Source organism: Homo sapiens, chromosome 5, assembly GCF_000001405.40.
Source record: "Homo sapiens chromosome 5, GRCh38.p14 Primary Assembly".
Lineage (NCBI taxonomy): Eukaryota > Metazoa > Chordata > Mammalia > Primates > Hominidae > Homo > Homo sapiens.
In genome coordinates, this window is record NC_000005.10 from 68,988,529 (window position 1) to 69,010,727 (window position 22,199).

A 22,199-nucleotide genomic window follows, 5' to 3' on the forward strand; every position below is an offset into this window, starting at 1 on the left:
TTTGATGAGGAAAGAAATATATACATAGTCTCAAAGTCCCTCCTCACAAAACATTTTATAATTACAAAAGGAAAAAGAATAACTTTATAGGAAAAAAACCCGACAGACACCACCTTAATCAAGTGATCAAACTTAACATCATCAGTAGTGGGACAAACCAAAATCGTGTACCACCTCACAGGCTGCAATGAGAACATAGCATCTCTGCCATCAATCAGGTGTATGAAATTGGGCAAATAACTCACGTCTTTAGACCTCTGTTTCTTCGTCTGAAAAAGGAAGTAAGTAGAATAGATAATATCTAACATCCTCTCCAGCTCTAAATTTCTACTATTCTAATACTTATTAAACTCATCTAAATATATGTCTTCATGTTCAGAACTTGGCAGGGGGAGGTAGAAACCTTTCTCTCAGCTTAAGTGGTTGATGTTCTTATATAAGCAAACTGGGTGTAAAGTGCACAAAATGAAATACACAGTAAAATTTTCAAACTTGAATAGTTTAAATGACAAAAAAAAATCCCTAATTTCATAGAGACTACTGGAAAAGTCAAAATTTAAGAGTTTTAAAAGCAATAATAATTATTCCTTTCAAAGGAATACCTGCGTTTAAACTAGTATAGGAAAACAATTATATGGAAATAAATGCTTACATAAATAAGTGCTTGAAATGCTTTTCTTCCCTTAAGAAAGGTGAACATGGCTACTCCAACTGGTCAACCCCATTAAGAAGCTTGGCAAAATCTCTGAGGTGTGGAAAAACTCCAGACCTTTCAAGCAAGGCACTCACACATCCCAATCACTAAGAGCATCTTCAATACAGGGAAGAACTCTCTACTTGGCTGAAAGTCACTGCTTTCTGAGAGGTAAGATTAATGTCATTTAGTTAAGCAGGAGAGAATGGTTCTGTAAAATAACTCAAGCCCTCACAGGGCAATTCAAATGATCAACAACCTCATAAATAAATGCAGTCATATCAATATTCAGCTGGCAAACCATCAAAATGTGAAGTCTGAACCAATCTTATACTATTTAGCTTCAGCTATCAGCTTTTTTGCAAACAGAAACACATTAATTGGTAATTACTAATCTTTTAAGGTTGGAAGAGCCAACTCATTATAATTATTTTTACTAAATTTTTATTATCCCTTCCACATACAGAACAAAGTATATAAATTGAAACTATCAGAGTTTGAATGGTTCTGGCAAAGAACGAGTTATTAACTCATGTTTTTTTTATTACTTTTAATTAAATTTTTATTATCCCTTCCACATACAGAACAAAGTGTATAAATTGAAACTATCAGAGTTTGAATGGTTCTGGCAAAGAACGAGTTATTAACTCATGTTTTTTTAAATTATTTTTAATATTCACACACTAAAAACATAACCTAATTATAGTGCACTTGGATCATTTGGGCCCCTTTCCTCTCTGTCATCACCTATATCCAGTCTGGTCACAAAATTATGCCAACTCTTCCTTCTCAAGTGTTTCTAGAATCCAATCCTCCACTCCCACGGCCACCCTTCTAGACCAGGCCCTCATCACACCAAGCATGGTTTAGTACAAGACTTCTACATACAGCATCTACTATGGCTTGCCAGGTCTTTCAAAATCTACTAATCAATCTGACATAAAAACTATCTCTCCATCTTTGTATTGCTGCAAATCTGACCAAATTCTCTCTACACAGAATTTATTTTTTTTTTTTTTTTTGAGACGAAGTCTCACTCTTGTCGCCCAGGCTGGAGTGCAGTAGCACAATCTCAGCTCAATGCAACCTCCACCTCCCGAGTTCAAGCGATTCTCCTGCCTCAGCCTCCTGAGTAGCTAGGATTACAGGTGCCTGCCACCACGCCTGGCTAATTTTTGTATTTTTAGTAGAGACGGGGTTTCACCATGTTGGCCAGGCTGGTCTTGAACTCCTGACCTCAGACGATCCACCCGCCTTGGCCTCCCAAAGGGCTGGGATTACAGGCATGAGCCACCGTGCCCGGCCTACTCAGAGTATTTTTAATCAGGTTCATGGGACAGGTGCAAGACTTGAGGTACTCTCCTACAGATCTTCAAGTTCCCACCAATCCATTCTTTGACACTACTTTGGTACACACAGTTCTAACCCACCTACCTGTCCTACTATCCAACCCACATTCTTCCATATTCTGTTCTTCCATTATAAATTATCCTATCAAATTACTTGCTGAGACCTCAGAAACCCACACCTTCAGAATACTCCCCAGTAATAACTTCTGAGCCTCATTTGCAGGCACCCTCTCATCTGCCAGCCCTCCAAAAGATGGAGTATTCTAGACAGGACTCAGCCTTCTTCTCCTTTCTATTTTCATCCCATCCCTAGATGAGCTCATCCAGTCCCATAAATATCTTTATACTGACAACTCCCAAATTTACATCTCCAAGCTTGCTCTCTTTCCTGAGCTCCAGACTCAAATATCCAACTGTACACTCAGAATTTTTCCTGGGCATGTCAAACATAACATATCCAAAGACTTCTACATCTGAGTACATGGGGAACCATCGACTCAATTAATTAAAAAGTTTGGATTCGCCCTTTGCCCTTCCATTAATTTATCTCTAAACATCCAATACGACAATATATCTCTCTATCTCTCTGAAATATATCCCAAATTCAACCTATTGCTGTCACCATAGTCCAATTCATTACATTTCTCTTTCAGGTTATTGCAATACACTCCCAACTGGTGATGAGGTCCTGTCATTCATTCAGACATTCAGTCAGAACAACAGGAATTCTCAAAAAGCAAGTTCACTTAACATGATGTACATTTAATTAAACCAATTGCTGTTGGAAATGACCACCTTCTTTCTTCTTTTTCTCATTCTCTCTCTCTACTTTCTCTCTATCATTCTTATTCTCTTCCTAATTCCTCTTTCTCTCTCCCTCTTCTTGTTTTCTTCTTTCTCTCTTCCTCTCCCTGTTGTTTTACTGACCAACTAGGTACATAGTATAGTAGAAAAATGCTAGGAGTTAAAAGTAAAAGGTTTATTCCTGTGGGCTGTTATGGTAATTATGATGAAGTCAGTTTCTATTTCTGGCCCTCAGCTGTCTCATCTATTAAATAAAGAAATTATACTGGATGGTCTCTGAGGTCCCTTAAAGTTCTAGAAATCTATTCAAAGTATTTATTGAGTAAAGCGCTATGTTCCTTGTTCTTTAAAGTAGGTAAATTCAATACTTTATATTTCCCTGAAGGAAAAAAAGCAAATTAGGTTTTTTTACAAGGCCTTTAATTAATCCTTTTCTATCAGGGGTCAGTGGCTCTCAATAGAAAAAATGCACCTCTCCCTTGGTATAGTCTGAATATTCAATACCTCTGTAGTTATTTCTGTCTTTGGGCCTTTCTTGGAACAAGCAGTTTCCAAGAAGAGGCCAACAGTCCACTTAATATGAAAGCTATCATTTATACTGGGCACTTTTTCTGTTCCAGGTTCTGTGCTAAGGCTTTTTTTTTTTTTTTCATTTAATCCTCAAGAAAAGTCTACAAAAGGTAGATATGATATCACTCCTATTTTGCAGAAGAGGAAACTAAGGTACAAAAAGGTTAAGAAATTTGCCTAAGGGCACCCAGTCAATAGATGGTAGAGCCAAAATTTGGACCAAGGTCTGACTTAAAAGCCCATGCTCTCAAAGATGACACTGTACTTCCTCCTCCTGAAATGCTGGACCCCTACAGCCTAACTTCAGGTCTCCATTACCTCCAGGACTGACAAAGCATATGGCCTCTGATGTCCTGGAGTTCACACCCTAGCCTCTGTAACTACAGTACAAAGGTTTTGAGAACAGAGACTCATAATTTCTCATGGTATCTGGTGCCAGCCATGTGAGCACTCAATAAGTACTCTTGACTGAGGAAAGCCATAATGAGAATCAACTTATACAGCTAGGACTGCCTAATGTGAACTCTGGTGATACAAAGTAAAATGTCTGGATGGGGGAGAGATTATGGTGACACTAGCAATATGGTCAGGCATCCAATAAAGTCTAATTTCTATAATCTCATTACCATTTGCAGAAATTTGAGAGAGCTATTGATACACCTAGAGAATTGCTTTAGAGAATGAACGAAAATTGGTTTAATTAAGACTGAAGGTATTTCAGTGAAATATCAGGTCAGAGCATTTATGAAAAAAACTTCTCTTTTGAAAATGCTTTAAAAAGTCTTCAGAATTGGGGTGTAATTTGCATCATCATCTTCTGAGCAGCATCAAAGCAGAATTTATTCTCAGGGAGACTTTGTACCTGAGGTATTTATGGGTTCTCTGGCCGAAGGGATCAATTGGCAATGTCTCTAAAACTCCACCCCAATCTCTCCTAGAAGCATCTTTAGTATAGACAGAAAACCCTCACTGAATTATGAGACTATTGAACACCAGATATCTTCCTGTGACAGTGGTTTGGTGTTGATAAATAGGAAAGCCATTTAAATGTCCTCAGCCCTGGGACTGGTCATCTAAAGCTTCCCAAAACTTTAGAAGGACACAAAGATCCAGACTATTGTTTGGGGTGTTCTACATTTAGAGAACAGTAACACTGGAGGAAAGAGAGTGAGGGGGTTCAGGACACAGGCACTGTAAGGCCTTCAAGGTGATAGGCACGAACTCCCACTGAGGCCACCAATCCCCAAGGCAAAGAACAACATTGGTAATAGCAGGACAGATGTTTGAGAGGCTGAGAGTCTCCAGGGAGAACATGTGCATCACCCAGGACGAGGCCAGAGAAAGGGAAAGAGCCTGGGAAGTGGACAGGAAAAAGAAGGATTAATGTCCCAAGGATTCTGCCTGGTAAGTGCTCAAAGTCAAAACCATTTGTGGCCATCACCCTCCCCTTGGCTTTCCAAGCCTGTCCCCTCAGATTGGTGTGACTTGGAAAAAGCAAGTTAGAAACATTGTCAAGTAACAGTATTTTTTTTTTCTTTTTCTTTTTCTTTTTTTTTTTTTTTGAGACAGAGTTTTGCTCTTGTTGCCCAGGCTGGAGTGCACTGACCAGATCTCGGCTCACTGCAACCTCCGCCTCCCAGGTTCAAGCAATTCTCCTGCCTCAGCCTCCCGAGTAGCTGAGATTACAGACATGCGCCACCACACCCGGCTAATTTTTGTATTTTTAGTAAGGACAGGGCTTCATCATGTTGGCCAGGCCAGTCTCAAACTCCTGACCTCAAGTGATCCGCTTGCCTCGGCCTCCCAAAGTGCTGGGATTACAGGTGTGAGCCACCGTGCCCAGCCAAGTAACAGTATTATATTTGCAGAAAAAAATGTTGATTATGGATATTTCTTTCTTTCTTTCTTTTTTTTCTTTTTGAGATAGGGTCTCATCCTGTCACCCAGGCTGGAGTGCAGTGGCGCAATCACAGCTCACTGCAGCCTCGACCTCCTGGGCTCAAGCAATCCTCCCACCTCAGCCTCCCAAGCAGCTGGGATGCCACAGGTGCACACCACACCCAGAAAATTTTTTTTCTTTGGAAAGACGGGATCTCCCTATGTTGCCCAGGCTGGTCTCAAACTCCTGGACTCAAGTGATTCTCCTGCTTCAGCCTCATAAAGTGCTGGAATTACAGACATGAGCCACTGAGCCAGCTTCTTCCTTCTCTGATACTTCCTTGGTAAGAACATTTTTTCCCAACCTATCTAAGAGTCTGCTTCTGATTTATCTTTGCTAGTTAACTGCAACACACAGCTAAAATAAAAGAATTCAACCAAAAAATGACAACAGACATTAAATTCAGGTAAGCAAATATAGTTTTCCTTTCTCTTTACTCAAAAAAGGTAATATTATTGACTCTACCCACCAAAAGAACATTAGGCACTTTACCCATCACACAGAACTCTCATTTTCCCTTCCTTCTTTTCAAAATGAACTTTTAAATTCCAACATGACATTCTAAGCAATCACTGAGAAGTGTAAAGGAGAGTATAATAGCCATAATTAACACTGTTTATATACCAGACAGACTTACATTTTGCTATAAATATTCCACACAAAAATCTTTGAAAGAGGGACAATTATGCTGAGAGGTTTATCTGTATGGCATTTGTCAAAAGAAGAAAAAAACAGGCTGCATTTCCTATTTGAAAAAAGGATTGCCTGGAATAATGCAAGATTGTACACTCACCAAAGGGAAAAAAATGAGTCGTCATCTTGAGTTAAAATGATAAAGCACATCCACTTTTTAAAGCTGTAGGCCTCTGCCCCTGCACGCCAAGCTATCATTAAAACGCAGAGCACACACAAGGGGATATAAGCTCATCTCATCTTCAGTACCACACTAGTACTGGTCACTGAGAGAACAGGCAGAAACAGAAATCTCACTTTCACGTGTGCTCTGCCACAGAAAAAGTCCATTTTGCTCCTCACATTTTGCTCATTACAGCTCAAAATGAAATTACCATTTGAAACTAAAATCTTTCTTGCCTTTATAGTTCTTACTTAGAATATATTACATTCATTTTGTTCTTCCTCTGCCACTTGTCACATAACTGTTTATCTTAGTTTTGACGGGGAGAAAAACAAAATGTTTCAGTGTTCCTGTTTACTTTTCTGTCTTTTTTGCCCCCAAGGCTCTTGATTACAAATGTGGGCTTCAATCTAATTTAGCAGAAGTTTGCATACATTTTGCAGAGCGAGTTACAACTTCTAGGATGTGGTCCTTTGGGGGTCCTGAAGCCCTATTAATCCAATCTGGGAAATCAGTCCCTTTTTTTTTTTTTTTTTGAGACAGCATCGCACTCTGTTGCCCAAGCTGGACTGCAGTGGTATGATCTCAGCTCACTGCAACTTCTGCCTCCCAGGCTCAAGCGATTCTCATGCCTCGGCCTGTAGCTGGGACTCATGCCTGTAGCTGGGACTACAGACATGCGCCACCATGCCCTGCTAGTTTTTGTTTGTTTAGTAGAGACAGGGTTTCCCAGTGTTGGCCAGGCTGGTCTCAAACTCCTGGCCTCAAGTGATCTGCCCACCTCAGCCTCCCAAAGTGCTGGGATTACAGACATGAGCCACTGCACCTGGCAAATTTTTGTATATTTAGTAGAGACGGGGTGTCACCATGTTGGCCAGGCTGGCCCTTTTCTGTCTTTATCTCTACTGATTTATCTGCAACATTTCCCCCTATTGACCACTTCCTCCTCCTTGAAACTCTCTCTTACCATGTCTTATGACATTTTATCTTGATTTTTCTCATATTTCTCTTTCTCAACCTAATAACCTTTCCCTTTTTCCATGAACCTCTAAAACATTGTTAGCTCCCAGATCATTGCTCCCTGATTATCACACTCTCATCTAGGGTGATCACATCCATTTTTGTCTATATCGATGTACAGTACTGTAAATGTGCAAAACTAAACTCAACTTTTCCTTTAAATCTGGTACTCAGCCTGTTTCTGATTTCAGCGATGACGCCAGGAACGAGTCACCCAAACCAGAAACCTCACAATTGTTCCTGACTTCTAATTTCCCACTAATCCCCATAAACAATAGCTCAACAAATAATTCCAGCCTGTTTTACCTTCTTGGTGTGTCCTGAATCTTTCACATCCACTCCCTCTTCACTGACACAGCTTCATTTCAATCCCTAATGTTTCTCCCATTTCTCTACCAGCTTCCCAACTGGTCTCTGTTTTGTCTTTATTCTTCACACTGATGTCGGAATTACCTTCCTGAAATGACTGCACACACACACACAAATCTAGGACTTGCTTTCTCCTATAATCACTCACAGCCCTCTGTGCATACCATTATCATGACACCTACACAGTAGTCTAATGCAGGGGTCCCCAACCCCCAGGCCACACAGCAGGAGGTGAACGGCGGGTGAGTGAACATTACCACTTGAGCTCCATTTCCTGTCAGATCAACGGGGGCATTAGATTCTCATAGGAACGTGAACCCTACTGTGAACTGCGCATGCAAGGAATCTAGTTTGCACGTTCCTTATGGGAATCTATTGTCTGATGATCTGTCACTGTATATATTACATGTAATAACATATGCATATATACACGTATACATTATGTATTATAATACAATGTAATAATAATAGAAATAAAGTTCACAATAAATGTAATGTGCTTGAATCATCCCAAAACCATTCCCCCGATCTCCTTCCATAGAAAAATTGTCTTCCACAAAACCAATACCTGGTGCCGAAAAAGCTGGGGACTGATGATCTAATGTGTTACATTATTTGTGGTCTTCCCAACTAGAATATCAGTCGGTTGAGTGCAGCTTCCAGGTCTTAGTGAGCTTTGGTGATACCATGCCTGACGTGGCAGATGCTCACTTAACATTTGTTGAATGAATTAACTGGAAAGCACTACTAATATTAAATAAGAAGACTTGAAGAATTGAAAAGGGGAATTTGGAAAGAAATGTAGAAACAAGTCTGCCTCTCTGGTACTCTCCGATGGAAGGTGGAGGAGAGAATGTAACGCACATCTTCCTAACCTTTGTTGCATCATGCATCCTTTTGAGAATCTGATGAAAATTAAGGGATCTCTCCAAAGGAAAAAATGCATCTAAACACATTACACAAAAATCTGTGCACAATTTCAGGGGGTTCTCTCTACAGATGTTCTAAGGATCTATAATTCCAAGATGTCACAGAGGGTGTACGGGATGTACCAGAGATTGAGTGTGTCTGAAAATGATAATTTGTACTAGAAAAAAGGAAAGTTTCACTCTATCACACATTATACAAAACTACATATTGGATACAGTAAAGGATTAAGTAATTTTTTTACCAACAAAGTCTTAGGGAAAATATTTTTTATAATCTGGGAGCAGGAAAATTAAGCCATAAAAGAAAAAAGATGGGCAGATTTGTCTACATACACATCTTTACAATATAAAACGCCATGGACAAAGAAAAATGGCTCAGTTTGTTGGGCACAATGACTCATGTCTGTAATCCTAGTACTTTGGGAGGCTGAGGTGGACCGCTTGAGCTCAGGAGTTGGAGACCAGCCTGGGCAACATGGCAAAACTCTGATGTCTACAAAAAAATACGAAAATTAGTCAGACATGGTGGCACACACCCGTGGTCTCAGCTACTTGGGAGGCTGAAGTGGGAGGATTGCTTGAGCCCAGGAGATGGAGGCTGCAGTGAGCCAAGATCACACCACTGCACTACAGCCTGGGCAACAGAGCAAGACCCTGTCTCAAAAAAAAAAAAAAAAAAGAAAAGAAAAGAAAAATGACAAATGTCTAAAGTGTATAAAATATGTGAAATACATAAAATCCAAGTAATTTGTATTTAGAAAATAGTGACTCTAAGTCAATAAAACAAAAAACAATAGAAAAATGCACAATGAAAAAGAATAGACATTTCACAAACAAATGCAAATGGTCAATTAGTAAGGAAAATATGTTCGACATTTATATTTCCTAATCAAGGAAATATAAAACAATTAAGTCACTCTTCTTTATCCCCCATATTGACAAAAATTATCAAGATTAAACATATCCAGGGTAGTCAAGGATGTAGGAAAAACAGTTACTCTTACACACTGATGGTGGAAATAAAAATGACTATTTTTTAGATGACAATTTGGCAGTATCTGTCAATATTGTAAGTATACATACAGTTCTACCCAGAAATTTCACTGCCAAGCCTCTCTTCTAGAGAAATGCTTACACCTGTTCACAAAGAAGCACAAACAAGGATCTTCACTGCAGTACTGTTTACAGTAGAGAACGTTAAATGTCCACCAAAAGAAGAATAACACTATGGTTTAAAGAATGAAGTTGATCTATTTGTACTAAGACATATTGCTAAATAGCAAGTATGCATTATCATCCCAGTTACTTTCCACACTTAAATGCATACATACATTTGGGTATGAAAGGTTGATGTACACAGAAAACAGTGGTTACCTCTGGGGAGGGGAGTAAAATTCAGGGGAGATGAGAAATTAGAAAATGTTTACTTTTTTGGTGGGGGGAGACAAGAGTCTTGCTCTGTCACCCAGGCTGAAGTGCAGTGGCATGATCTCGGCTGACTGTAGCCTCCACCTCCCAGGTTCAAGTGATTCTCCTGCCTCAGCCTTCCTAGTAGGGGGGATTACAGGTGCACACCACCACACCCAGCTAATTTTTTGTATTTTTAGTACAGATGGGGTTTCGCCATGTTAGCCAGTCTGGTCTTGAACTCCTGACCTCAAGTTATCCACCCACCTCGGCCTCCCAAAGTGCTGGAATTACAGGTGTGAGCCACCACACCTGGCCCAGAAAATGTTCACTTTTTATTCTATATTCTGTTATGTTGTTTGAACATTTCGCAACCAGGCTAGATGGGGGTGGAGCAATTGTTTAAAGGGAACATTACACCATATTGACCAATTCCTCATTCATTCTGGCCTCTGAAATTTCTCACAGTTTTGTCTAACTTCTGTTGTTCACTGACACTTCATGTAATCCACAAATTTTGTGTGCCCTCTCTTGGTTCACACTAGAGCCTGCAGGCTCATATGGGCAGCCATCTCCAGCCTTGCCTTGGAGTCAGAGAGCCACATCACTGGCCAACTGCAGAGTCCTGGTGGCCTCGTCAAGAAGCAGGAGACTTTAATGACACCTGAGAAAGCCCTATGTCCTGCTTCTGCCATCTATGTTGTTCTCTTTGAGGATTTTTCAGAAGAATCCATGATTCTGTAAAAATGGGAAAGGTCAGCGACAGATCCATATTCGGTTGTAAATTAAATGGCGTTACTTCATGACTTGGCATGTGAGCTGTGAAATAGTTATGTTTATAAGAATGTTCTCTAACCTAATGGGAAACAGAAATGATAAAATAAACCAAATGATAAAATAAACTACAGGAGAGCACTGTGGTCATCTGCCATTAATCCTTGGCATCCTAGGAATTAGCCATGAACTTCATCTCTGGGCTTCCTCAAGATAATCAGCTTCTAATCCATGGGAGTTTTTCCCTCACACTTACTATTGCCAGGTTGAGTTTATGACTCTTAGGATACATTTTACAGAGAATGCTTTAAATGCCTAAATAAATGACATTGTCCTGGTCCACCCCACCTACTAATCAGTTAACACTGCAGCCTCTTAATAAATTTAAATATATGTATATCTGCCCCGGTTTGTTCCTGTGATCAGGCACTTAGATAAGCATTTCTGATCTACTATCTCTTTCAGTCAGCCAGATATCCTTAAATATTAATGCTTCTTTTGTGTGTGTGTGTGTGTGTGTGTGTGTGTGTGTGTGAGAAAGAGTTTTGCTCTTGTTGCCCAGGCTGGAGTGCAATGACGAGATCTCGGCTCACTGCAAACTCCGCCTCCCGGGTTCAAGCGATTCTCCTGTCTCAGCCTCCCGAGTAGCTGGGATTACAGGCACATGCCACCACGCCCGGCTAATTTTTGTATTTTTAGTAGAGACAGGGTTTCATCATATTGGTCAGGCTAGTCTCGAACTCCTGACCTCAGGTGATCCGCCCACCTCGGCCTCCCAAAATGCTGTGATTACACATGTGAGCCACCACACCTGGCCAATACTTCTTTTTTAAAATCATATTTCAATTTTTATTCTTTTCAAAAACCCAGATATGTTTCATGTAAACAAAAAGTATTACAGTAATATATGTGGGGGGGTTATGTCCCAGCATTTAGGGTAATATCAATGTTGGCATCTTCATTTTATGAAGAGAAAACAGACATGGAAAGGCTTAGGTTCCTGGAATTCACAGGAAAATGAGCTTGGAAATCTTACCAGGTTCATTATTCCCTTTGCCATGTATAGAAATGTTGGTCACACAGGCCTCAACTGTATTTCCATGGTAATCACCCCAGATAGCCCACAGGCTCAAGCCAGGCCCTGCACCCATACATAGGTGTTCACCAAGATATGTGCTGGGTGTTGGTAAAGTACAGCTGATGCCCCAGGCTAGGAAAAACATAGAACTCTAGGCCTTTCACCTTTGTTTCTTCTCCCAGACCTGGGCCCTTTCAGGGCAGAACACTGAAGGCAGTGCATTAACATAAAGGCAAACAGAAATGTCCGTTTTTCCATGTTTAATGCCAGTTGGACAGTTTATTCACCCAGTCTACCCCCATAAACACAGCTAAACTGTGCCCTGTGGAGAGGCACCTGTGGGTCAGATGAGCACTCCAAGTGCTGTGTCATGTGTATCAAGGGCTCTCGGGCTACAGAGTGATTCATTCGAATCAGGATCCATTTTGCATGGTGCAGCTTTATGCATGCCTCATTGAAGAAGTCTTCTCTGCGCAGTGTATGTTATTATAAGTAATCCGCCCACACACCACAGATTTTAATGCATCCTAGAGAGCAAATTACTGGCAACAATAAGTTACAAGACATCCCTGACCAAATTAGTTGGTCATTCATCTGAAGACCAACAAACTCAGCCTCTATTGAGCCATGAAGGAAAGGGAAAACATCGAACAATTATATAGATATTCTATAATTGGGGGTTGGAAAGTGACTATATTGAAATACTTCCCTTAGCATAGCTTAACTGCAAAAGGTCTGGGGAGGTCATTTGGTCCAGCTACTGCCTCATCCTGCTGCAGACTCCAGGGATCCATTAGCATAGTCCAGCAGAAAGAAAAAGACAGATACCAAGAAAATGTGTATCTTGTTGCACATCTGACAGCTACATTTTTCCTAGGGCTACTCCACTGGAAGTAGAACAAGATGTCATGAATAACTTAGGAGAAGTTTTTTTAAAAACTGTCCTAGGGATATGTAAGAAAGTTGGCTAAGCCACGAAAAAAAGAAGGAAAGCAACAGAAGGGCCCCCCCTCAACCAGCTCAGATCACCCCTCACCTGGCCAATGCAGGCTGCTCAGCCAGCAGATTCCAATGCAGTAGCTGGCAGATGAAGGAGAAAACGGGGACTGGGAGCTATTTTTCTATTTCCATACTTTTAATTATTCTTAATCCATACTCCCTAGATGGCTTAATCACTAACAGGCTGCAGCTATGGTCTGGCATAACACTGGGTTAATTATGCTCTTTGGGTTACAAAGGACAGAAATAAATTCACTTAGGCTACCTCAGGTAATGAGGGTTCACTGGTCAGTTACACATGACAATATATGTGGCTTCTTCTCTCTACCTACATGCCCCCGCGCTCTCACCAACCCCAACCCCCAATCTAGCTGGCTGATCCTGTCCATATTTCTCAGCTCAAATTCCAGAGTGTCTGTTTCACCAACGTAATTACCTAACTCCCACTGGTCAGAGCTTTCCCTGCCAGACCACCCTTCAAGCTACTTGCCAGCCTATGAACTGGTTGCCCTCGGGTCAGGTGGCTGCCTCTGGTCCAATCAGCAGGTGCCCACTGCACAACTTACAGTTTAGGGCCACTTCCTTTGGCAAGGGGCTGTGTACCAAGGCAGCTTTCCTTAGAAAAGGGTGGTGGGAATTTCAGGTGCATCTCTATGTAAAAAGTGGCCACCAAATACTTAAGTACAGATAAACTACTGATTTGGAGGTAAGAGTCTTTGTAGGAGCAGGACCAGCTTTGCAGACTTACCACCTGTGCAGTTACACAGGGTCCCTGTGCTCAAAAGGGCCCACACTTGGGTAAATGCTGTGCCCATCTTTAAATATTACATGATTTTTGAACAGGGGACCTGCATTTTCATTTTGCACAGGGATTTGCAAGTTATGCAACTATTCCTGTATAGGACTTATTATTAAATTATAAAAAGTGAAAGGATTTTCATAGAATCAAATAATTTTGGATCCAGTGATTCTTCTAAGATCATCTACTACAAATATTCATTTAACAAATAAGAAAACTGAGGTCAAAGAAAGGATAATTGGCTTAATTTAGATCCAACAGTGAGTACTAGCAATGTCAGACCAGAAACAGATTCTTACCCCTCCAAGTCCAGACTTCTCATTCTTTCATGGGACAGGCTTTCTCCTGGCAACAACTACCTGATGCTGGTCCATTTTGCCAGGATATTTGGTAGACTACTTAGAAATTTCATAAAAGAAAGGCTGATGGGCAGGGCGCAATGGCTCACGCCTGTAATCCCAGCACTTTGAGAGACTGAGGCGGGCAGATCACGAGGTCAAGAGATCCAGACTATCCTGGCCAACATGCTGAAACCCCATCTCTACTAAAAATACAAAAATTAGCTGGGCGTGGTGGTGCACGCCTCTAGTCCCAGCTACTCGGGAGGCTGAGGCAGGATAATCGCTTGAACCTGGGAGGTAGAGGTTGCAGTGAGCCAAGATCACTCCACTGCACTCCAGCCTGGCGACAGAGCAAGACTCCGTCTCAAATGTAAATACATAAATAAATAAATAAATAAATAAATAATAAAGACTGATGTTAAAACACAAATGTGGATCTTTTCTTGTTCAATCTTACAGCTTGTTTCTTAACCTTTGACCCCCTCAGAACAAATTCCACTGACAATCCCCAGAATCTAAAACAAAAGCTGATTGGCAGAATGTAAACTAATAGAATCTCTATGGAGGATCATTTGTAATAGATATCAAAATTACAATGTTCATACTCCTCAACCCCACAATCCCATTCTAGATATAGTTGCACATATGCAAAAATATGCATGCTTAAGACTATTCATTTTGATGTTATTCATAATAGCAAAAGATTGGAAACAACCTAGATAACCAGATAACCATAAACCGGAGACTAGTTTTTTTTGTTTATTTGTGGTTTTTTCTGTTTTTTTTGTTTTTTTTTTTTTGAGACAGAGTCTCACTCTGTCGCCAGGCTGGTGTGCAGTGGCATGATCTCTGCTCACTGCAACATCTGCCTCCCAGGTTGAAGCGATTCTCTTACCTCAGCCTCCTGAGTAGCTGGGACTACAGGCACATGCCACCATGCCCAGCTATTTTTTTGTATCTTTAGTAGAGACGGGGTTTTACCATGTTGGCCAGGATGGTCTTGATCTCTTGGTCTCGATCTCTTGACCTTGTGATCTGCCGCCTTGGCCTCCCAAAGTGCTGGGATTACAGGCATGAGCCACCGCACCTGGCTGTTTTTTGTTTTTTTGTTTTTTTGTTTTTTTTTTAAAAAAAAAGAGGATGATGCAATAAAATACTATGTAGCTCTTGGGAAAAAAGGAGTTAATCTAGATTTACTGATACAGAACAATTTGCAGTTCATCATTTCATGAAAAAGCAAGGTGCAAACCGTATACAGTATGCTTCTGTTTGTGAGGGAAAAAGATATATAACCAAATATCCTACAATTATACATACACAGAGAGAGAGTGGATATTTGTATATGTATAGAATTTGTCTGGAAGGGTGGGAGATGGTGGCTCACAGCTGTAATCCCAGCACTTTGGGAGGCCAAGGTGGGCAGATCACCTGAAGTCAGGAATTTAAGACCAGCCTGGCCAACATGGCAAAACCCCATCTCTACTAAAAATACAAAAATTAACCAGGCATGGTGGCATGTGACTGTAGTCCCAGCTACTTGAGAGGCTGAGGCAGGAGAATCACTTGAACCTGGGAGGCAGAGGTTGCAGTGAACCAACATTGTGCCACTGCACGCCAGCCTGGGTGGCAGAGTGAGACTCCATCTCGAAAAAAGAAAAAAAAGAGAATTTGTCCAGAAGGATATACAATAAAGAGCAACTGTCTCTGAGGAAGGGACATGAGGGACTCAGGAATGGAAATTGGGCGGGGGGGGTTTGTATTTGGTGCCTTGTTTTTCCCTTAAAATTTGTACTATGTGCACAAATTATCTCTTCAAAAACTAGTTAAATGAGTGCCTGAAAGAGGACCCCATGACGCTGCCAGTATTGCATCATATCTGCAATAATAAGCAACACACTATTGCTATCATTTTTGCTAAAGATTTTGCTGAAATCTTGTATATCAAACTTAGAGACAAAGGAAATTAAACGTAGTTAAATTAGACTTTAAAAACCAATTCTCTCCCCCTCCCTGCTCTGCTATAGACAAAAGGAAAAACCTGAAAAGTTTTCAAAACCTGCATAATCCATTGCTTGTTTAGTCATTGGCACAGCTGCGTGATACAATGGAGAAAACGAGAAATGTTCCCAACTCTTCCTTTGGAAATTTGCCAGTATCATCTCCAAAGTATCCTTCAGACGTTATCCACTTATGTTTTTCCAGTGTACCCACCAGCAGAGTTCCCAAGCACTTTAACAAGAGCTGTATTTTGAATCAAAAGCATGAAGCGGGATACAAACCTCAATATTGCCCTAGTTTAGTAAAACATTTGCCTCGGGTGACAGCAGAAAAGGAAGCTTAGTCCTTCTGATTCCTAGCTAGGAAAGACAGGAAATGTGTTTCCCCCACATATTTTCTTTGTTGCTTCAGTTCCACACATTCTATAGTTATGCAACCCCCATGTGGTGGATCAAAGATGGCTACAAATTCTTTGACACTCCTCTCCTGTGGAGAAGGGATCTGTTTCCATTATTCTTGATTCTGGGCTGTCCTGTGACTGCTTTGACCAATGGAGTATCACAGAATTGGTGCTATGCCAATTCCAACCCTAGTCTCTAAAATAACCGGCAGAGTCCTAAGTGAGCCACTATGTAAGAGTCCAACTGGCATTCTAAAGAGAACACGTAGAGATACTCTAAGACTACATCGAGAGGGAGAAGGGCACAAAGCCTGTCAGCCATTCCTGTCAAGACACTAGGCATATGAGGGAAGCCATCTTGGATGCTTCAGCCCACACCAGACTGTTAAGTGACTCCAGTCAATGCCATGTGAAGCAGAAGAATCACCCAACCAAGCACTGAGCAAATTCCTGACCAAGGAACTTGTGAGATAATTAAAATATGGTTTTAAGACACTAAGTTTTGGGGTAGTATGCTATGCCGCAATACATAACCAAGACACCACACTATCAAAAATTAAACACTAGCATCTGCAAACCTTTAATACTCAAAATTCAATCTTTCCTGAATTACCTTAGATTATTGATAGAACAATCTCATGCCAGGCAGACACAGCTACTAGGAGAAGGGGCCAGGTTCAAGTTAAGACAACAGAAGAATTTTCCAGCACCTCCTTTCCAGCCAGAGATAAGTCTCCATTGGCCAGTACTGCCAGACAGAACTCCAGAGATCATGGCCAGGGATCCTGGAGTTTCTCAGCTCACACAGGACCACCATTTCTCAGGGTGTCATTTGACCAGCCCCAACCACTCCAGTACTCTGCCCATGTCCACCAATGCCATGTCCACCACCTCATGGGTGTCACATGTGGTTATTCCTGGAGGTAGGTTAAGAACCAGACCCTCAGCCAGGTGTGGTAACTCACACCTGTAATCCCAGGACTTTGGGAGGCTGAGGCAGGCAGATCACTTGAGGTGAGGAGTTCGAAGTAAGTCAGCCTGGCCAACATGGTGAAACCCCATCTGTACTAAAAATACAAAAAATTAGCCAGGCATGGTGGCTTGAGCCTGTAATCTCGGTACTTGGGAGGCTGAGGCAAGAGGATAGCTTGAACCCAGGAGGCGGAGTTTGCCATGAGCCAAGATCAAGCCACTGCACTCCAGCATGGGTGACAGAGAAAAACTCTGTCTCAAAAAAAAAAAAAAAAAAAAAAAAAGAACCAGACCCTCTACTCCAGCCCTTGCCCTTTCAGGCTGGGATGAGGGAAGGAGGGCTAAGTCTTGGAAGGAGAGATTCCTGGATTAACTTCCTCAGCCCACAACGACTGGCAGTTGCCACCCACTCCAGCCATGTGCCTGTTCTCACCCACCCACAGGGTTGCCAAGGCCTGAGGGAGGTGGCACTGGCAGAAACCATAATTAGGGATTTCATCATATACTTTAGCTAGAATTGAGAACAAATTCTTCCTTACAACATGCAAATCTATTGTTCGACTTTCAAACATCCAACTAACTTTCAAACACATTTTTGGGAACCCATTAGATACGTAAGGAAGACACTACCTCTTCTGAACTGTAGACATGGCCTTGAAATTCAGACAAGAGCATGTCCAGGGTTGACACAATAATGGAAGATTCAAAAAACACGTGATGAAAGAGAACATGGAGGTCAGCAAACATGGTCCAGCAAGGTCCAGGTTGCACCAAGGCAAGCACAGACCCAGAAGCTATGAGGGAAGGAAAGGGGGAAGTACAAAGAGGGTCTTCATCCCTCCTGTGTCCCTGGCTTCAAAGGAGTGAATTCCCATTCAATTTCATAAAAGACTTTTCACCATTTCCTATATAGACAAATTAAAGCAGCAAGTTGACCATCTGAATAATCTATTGTTATAGATCAATGTCTGGATATTACTGGGGGAGAGAGGTGTTTGAGCTTTGAGCTTTTTCTCAAAGGCTAAAGGGACAAATTTTAGGATTTTCCCAAATTATCTCAATAATTTTTTCAACCCTTCACTTCAGACAAAATATTTAAGGAAATGCTATTTCCATAGTATTCTTGGGTCATACCTATAGAGCCACAGCCAAGGGAGGGGCACAGGAGGGAAGAAGGAGGGGTAGAGTCACCCAGATTACCTGTCTGGTTGCTTAGACTGGTCCAATTTCACTAAGAATCACACAAACCTCTTCATTCCTTCTGCTTTGTTCACCTGACCTTTTTCAATTTCTTTTTCCTTTCTCCATTACCCTAAGGGAGTAATCTAGCCACTCTGGCTTTCTTTGCATGCAAAATGTAACAGTTCCTTCTTTCGTCTTTCAGATAAAGGCAGTCTTGGGGAGGGGAAGAGAAAAGTGCCTGGCTTCTCCAAATTAGCTCTGAAATAAAAGTCACTGCCAGATGTTATATAAAAGGTGACGTAATCCTAAAGTACTTCATTACATATGCAGCTCTGCTGTTCAGCCCAGGAGGAGTTTATTACATTTTGTCGATCCCATTTTCTATACCCACATCATTTTTACATAATTTTTCCTGCCTGACAGACATCTTCACATTTTCACAGCAACCCATCAAGATAGCGTTACAACAGCACAGGAAACCAGGCTAGCAGTTTACAAATAATGGTGTTAATAAGTCAGATTTGTCCCTGAGATACAAATCAGGAGTAAATGGTCTATCCATGTGTGTGAAAAGCACATCTATTTCAGAATAACAGGGAAGAAAGCAGAGCACCATTTCAACTGGCACCGTGTTCCTTCAGAACACGTACCAAACCTATTCGACAAGTAGGAAAATGGAGAAATGTCAATCTAAAGTTATTCTTGCAATTCTTTTCGTTTTCCTAATAAATTCTTGGCTCAGAGTGAAATAGATGACCATGGAAAATGCATTAAGATCAAACTTCCTGCCTTTTTGGATTGCACAAAATTTAGAAGAAAATACACCATTCGTACCAATGAAGTATCTAGCTACTGAGATGCTTTAAGTGCAAACACTGAGAGACACTTCCTCCCACTCGCCAGGTGCTAAGCATCCTTCCCTGTCTCCCTGGGCACTCATGGCCCCACTGCCCCCTGATGGTAAAAAGCAGCAGTGCAGGCTGGACCATTCTTCAAGGAGGATTGACAGACTGGAGTGGACGGTTCAAAGGCATTTGCCTTAAGGTCAGTGTGAGAGGCCAAAGACACTGAGCTCCTAGTTACTAGTCAGAAACAAACTTATGCGACTCAGAATTCCAGTGGGATAAGAAAATGCCTGTGACTCCCACCCCAAGGAATCATACATAGAAGGAAATTTCATCTTTAGAACCTCCTTCAGCCTTAAGGAAAGATCCCTGTAAAAATGAACTTTGTGTTTTTAAACAGTAATTATAAACTTAGAGTAATGGAGGTTTTATTCTTTTATAAGAGTGGGACTTGGATATAGGAGAAGGGGAGATGTAAAGGCTTCATGGAGGAATTTTGACCCCCTCCCTTCCACTCCCACCCCCTCACTGCCTAGAAAATAAGAGGTATTAGCAACTAGCCCCAAAATAAATGTACCTAATGTCATACTTTTATCCAAAGTCATCACATTCCATAGTTCTACAAGTAGTTTGTTTCACAGGTTCAAATTTTCTTCTCCTTTTTAAAGCAGTTTTTCTTTATATCAAAGTAATTCATGCACATAGTATAAAGAGTCAAACTGTTCTACAGCAGTCCAAGCAGTCCCTACCTCGTGTTTCCTGCTCCCAGAAGGCAGATACTTCCAGCTCTTTTAACTGAACCATTTACTTTTTACCTCTATATCTCTAAATGTCATGTTCATGTTGCTGCCTCTTGATTTTTTAGTTTAAGCTTCATATATTGACTTTGCACTATGGAAGATGACTTCATAAGTACCCGCACACACATACACAACCCCACCATACATATATACTTCCCAGTATAATTTTGGTAAGAGCAATAATCAATATTTATAGAGCTATAACTATTAAATTCTTGACCACAAAGCCATGTGGTATATCCTGTTCACATTTCCTTTCCTGAACAAGTTTATATTTTCCCTGGAATTAAAAAAACAGTCTTTTCTTCACATGCTATGTTTTATATGTATTGATTATATTAGTTTCCTAGGACTGCCATAACCAAGTACCACAAACCAGGTGGCTTTAAACAACAGAAGTTTATTGTCTTATAGTTCTGGAGACTAAAAGTCTAAAATTAAGTTATCACCAAGGCCATGCCCTCTCTGCAGGCTCTTCCTGCCCCCTTCAGCTTTTGGCATTTGCCAGCAATCCTCAGCAGCCCTTGGCTTGCAGATGTGTCACTCCAATCTCTGCCTTGTTACTTGTTATATGGCCTTTTCCTTTTTTACTTTTTTTTTTTTAACAGGGTCTCACTCTGTTGCCCAGACTGGAGTGCATTGGCATGATCATGGCTAACTGCAGCCTCAATTTCCTGGGCTCAAGCCTTCCTCCTCCCACCTCAGCCTCCCAAGTAGCTAGGAGTACAGGTACATGCCACCACTTCTAGCTAATTTTTTTTTTTTTTTGGAGAGACAGGGTCTCACTATGTTGCCCAGGCTGGTCTCAAACTCCTGGCCTCAAGCAATCCTCCCACCTCAGCCTCCCACAGTGCTGGGTTTACAGTTGTGGGCTACTGCACCTGGCCTATGTGGCCTTTTTCCACGTGTGTGTCTGTCTTCACATGGCATCTCTTCTCTATGTGTGTCTGTCTCTGTGTCTCTTCTCTTGTTATAAGAACACCAGTCATCTTGGATTAAGGGCCTACTCTACTCTTGTATGACCTCATTTTTAACTGACTTCTTAATTATGTCTACAAAGACCCTGTTTCCAATAAGTCATGTTCCCAGGTACCCAGAGTTAGGACTTCAACATATCTTTAGTTGGAGGTGGCAGCGAGAGCACAATTCAGCCCACACTGATCTCCACTAATTTATCCCCAACTCTGAGCAATTGTCTAAGTCTCCTCTGAGTATATTCAAACATTATCTATTTTCTATCAATCAGGTTTCACCTTCTGTGTCAGTTCACTCTCAAATGGGCTTTCTCTTTATAATTGGCTACAACTACAGCACATATCCTTTCAGGTTCAAGTGGAAAAACAGGACATATTTCTCCCTCAGTAGCCTCATTGGCTCCCCAGGATCACATGCCAATCTCCAACCAGTCACTATAGGCAGGAGAAGACTGCACGCATGTGACTTAATCCTGGGTTATATGCTCCCTAGATAGAGCTGGGCATAAGACCAGCTTTATTTTACTAAATGACCTGATCCTGGAGAAGAGAGGATTCCACAAAGGGTGAATGGATGGATACTGAACACCAAAACTAAATTAACATCCACTACTGCAGCCTGTTAGAAAACACTTTAAGAGGGGTCATGTTCTCCCCAAGACTGGAACACAGATTTTGTCCTTCCAGAGAATTTCATAATAATCTCTTCCTTCCAGGAAGTTTCAGGAAGCAAAAAAGATATTGAACAAAAAATACATTCAGATCTACATTTTCTCCTTTTTCTGCTTTCATAGAGATTAATCTGGTAATATCTGAGGGAAAAAATACATGTCACTTTAGTACATTTTTACATCCTAAATTGTTTGGAGAGAAGGTACTTATTATCCCAAATACAAAATGTCATACACACGGAGGGAAATATCCTCTGGTCAAATCCCCATGATTTCAAATAGAATGACGCAGAAAATAAAAAATTCCAGCCAGGCAGGCAATAACCATCCTGTTCATAAAAACGCTCTCCTGCTGAGATGCCACAAGAAGTTTTCTTCAAATGAGCTTTCACACTGCAATCTAGTTGTCCAACATCATCTCTTGCCATC

General features: G+C 41.2%; 2 long non-coding RNA genes across 2 annotated transcripts in view; both read right to left on the minus strand.

Moving 5' to 3' along the window:
• The window catches only part of LOC107984116 (uncharacterized), a 46,646-nt gene extending 27,989 nt beyond the window's left edge, over window positions 1–18,657 (minus strand). Inside the window, exon 1 of the long non-coding RNA XR_001742709.2 lies at window positions 18,499–18,657. This is a non-coding gene — a long non-coding RNA (uncharacterized LOC107984116). The remainder of the gene's footprint in view (window positions 1–18,498) is intronic.
• The window catches only part of LINC02198 (long intergenic non-protein coding RNA 2198), a 62,187-nt gene that overhangs the window by 20,788 nt on the left and 19,200 nt on the right, over window positions 1–22,199 (minus strand). The gene's annotated exons all lie outside the window — the stretch shown is intronic.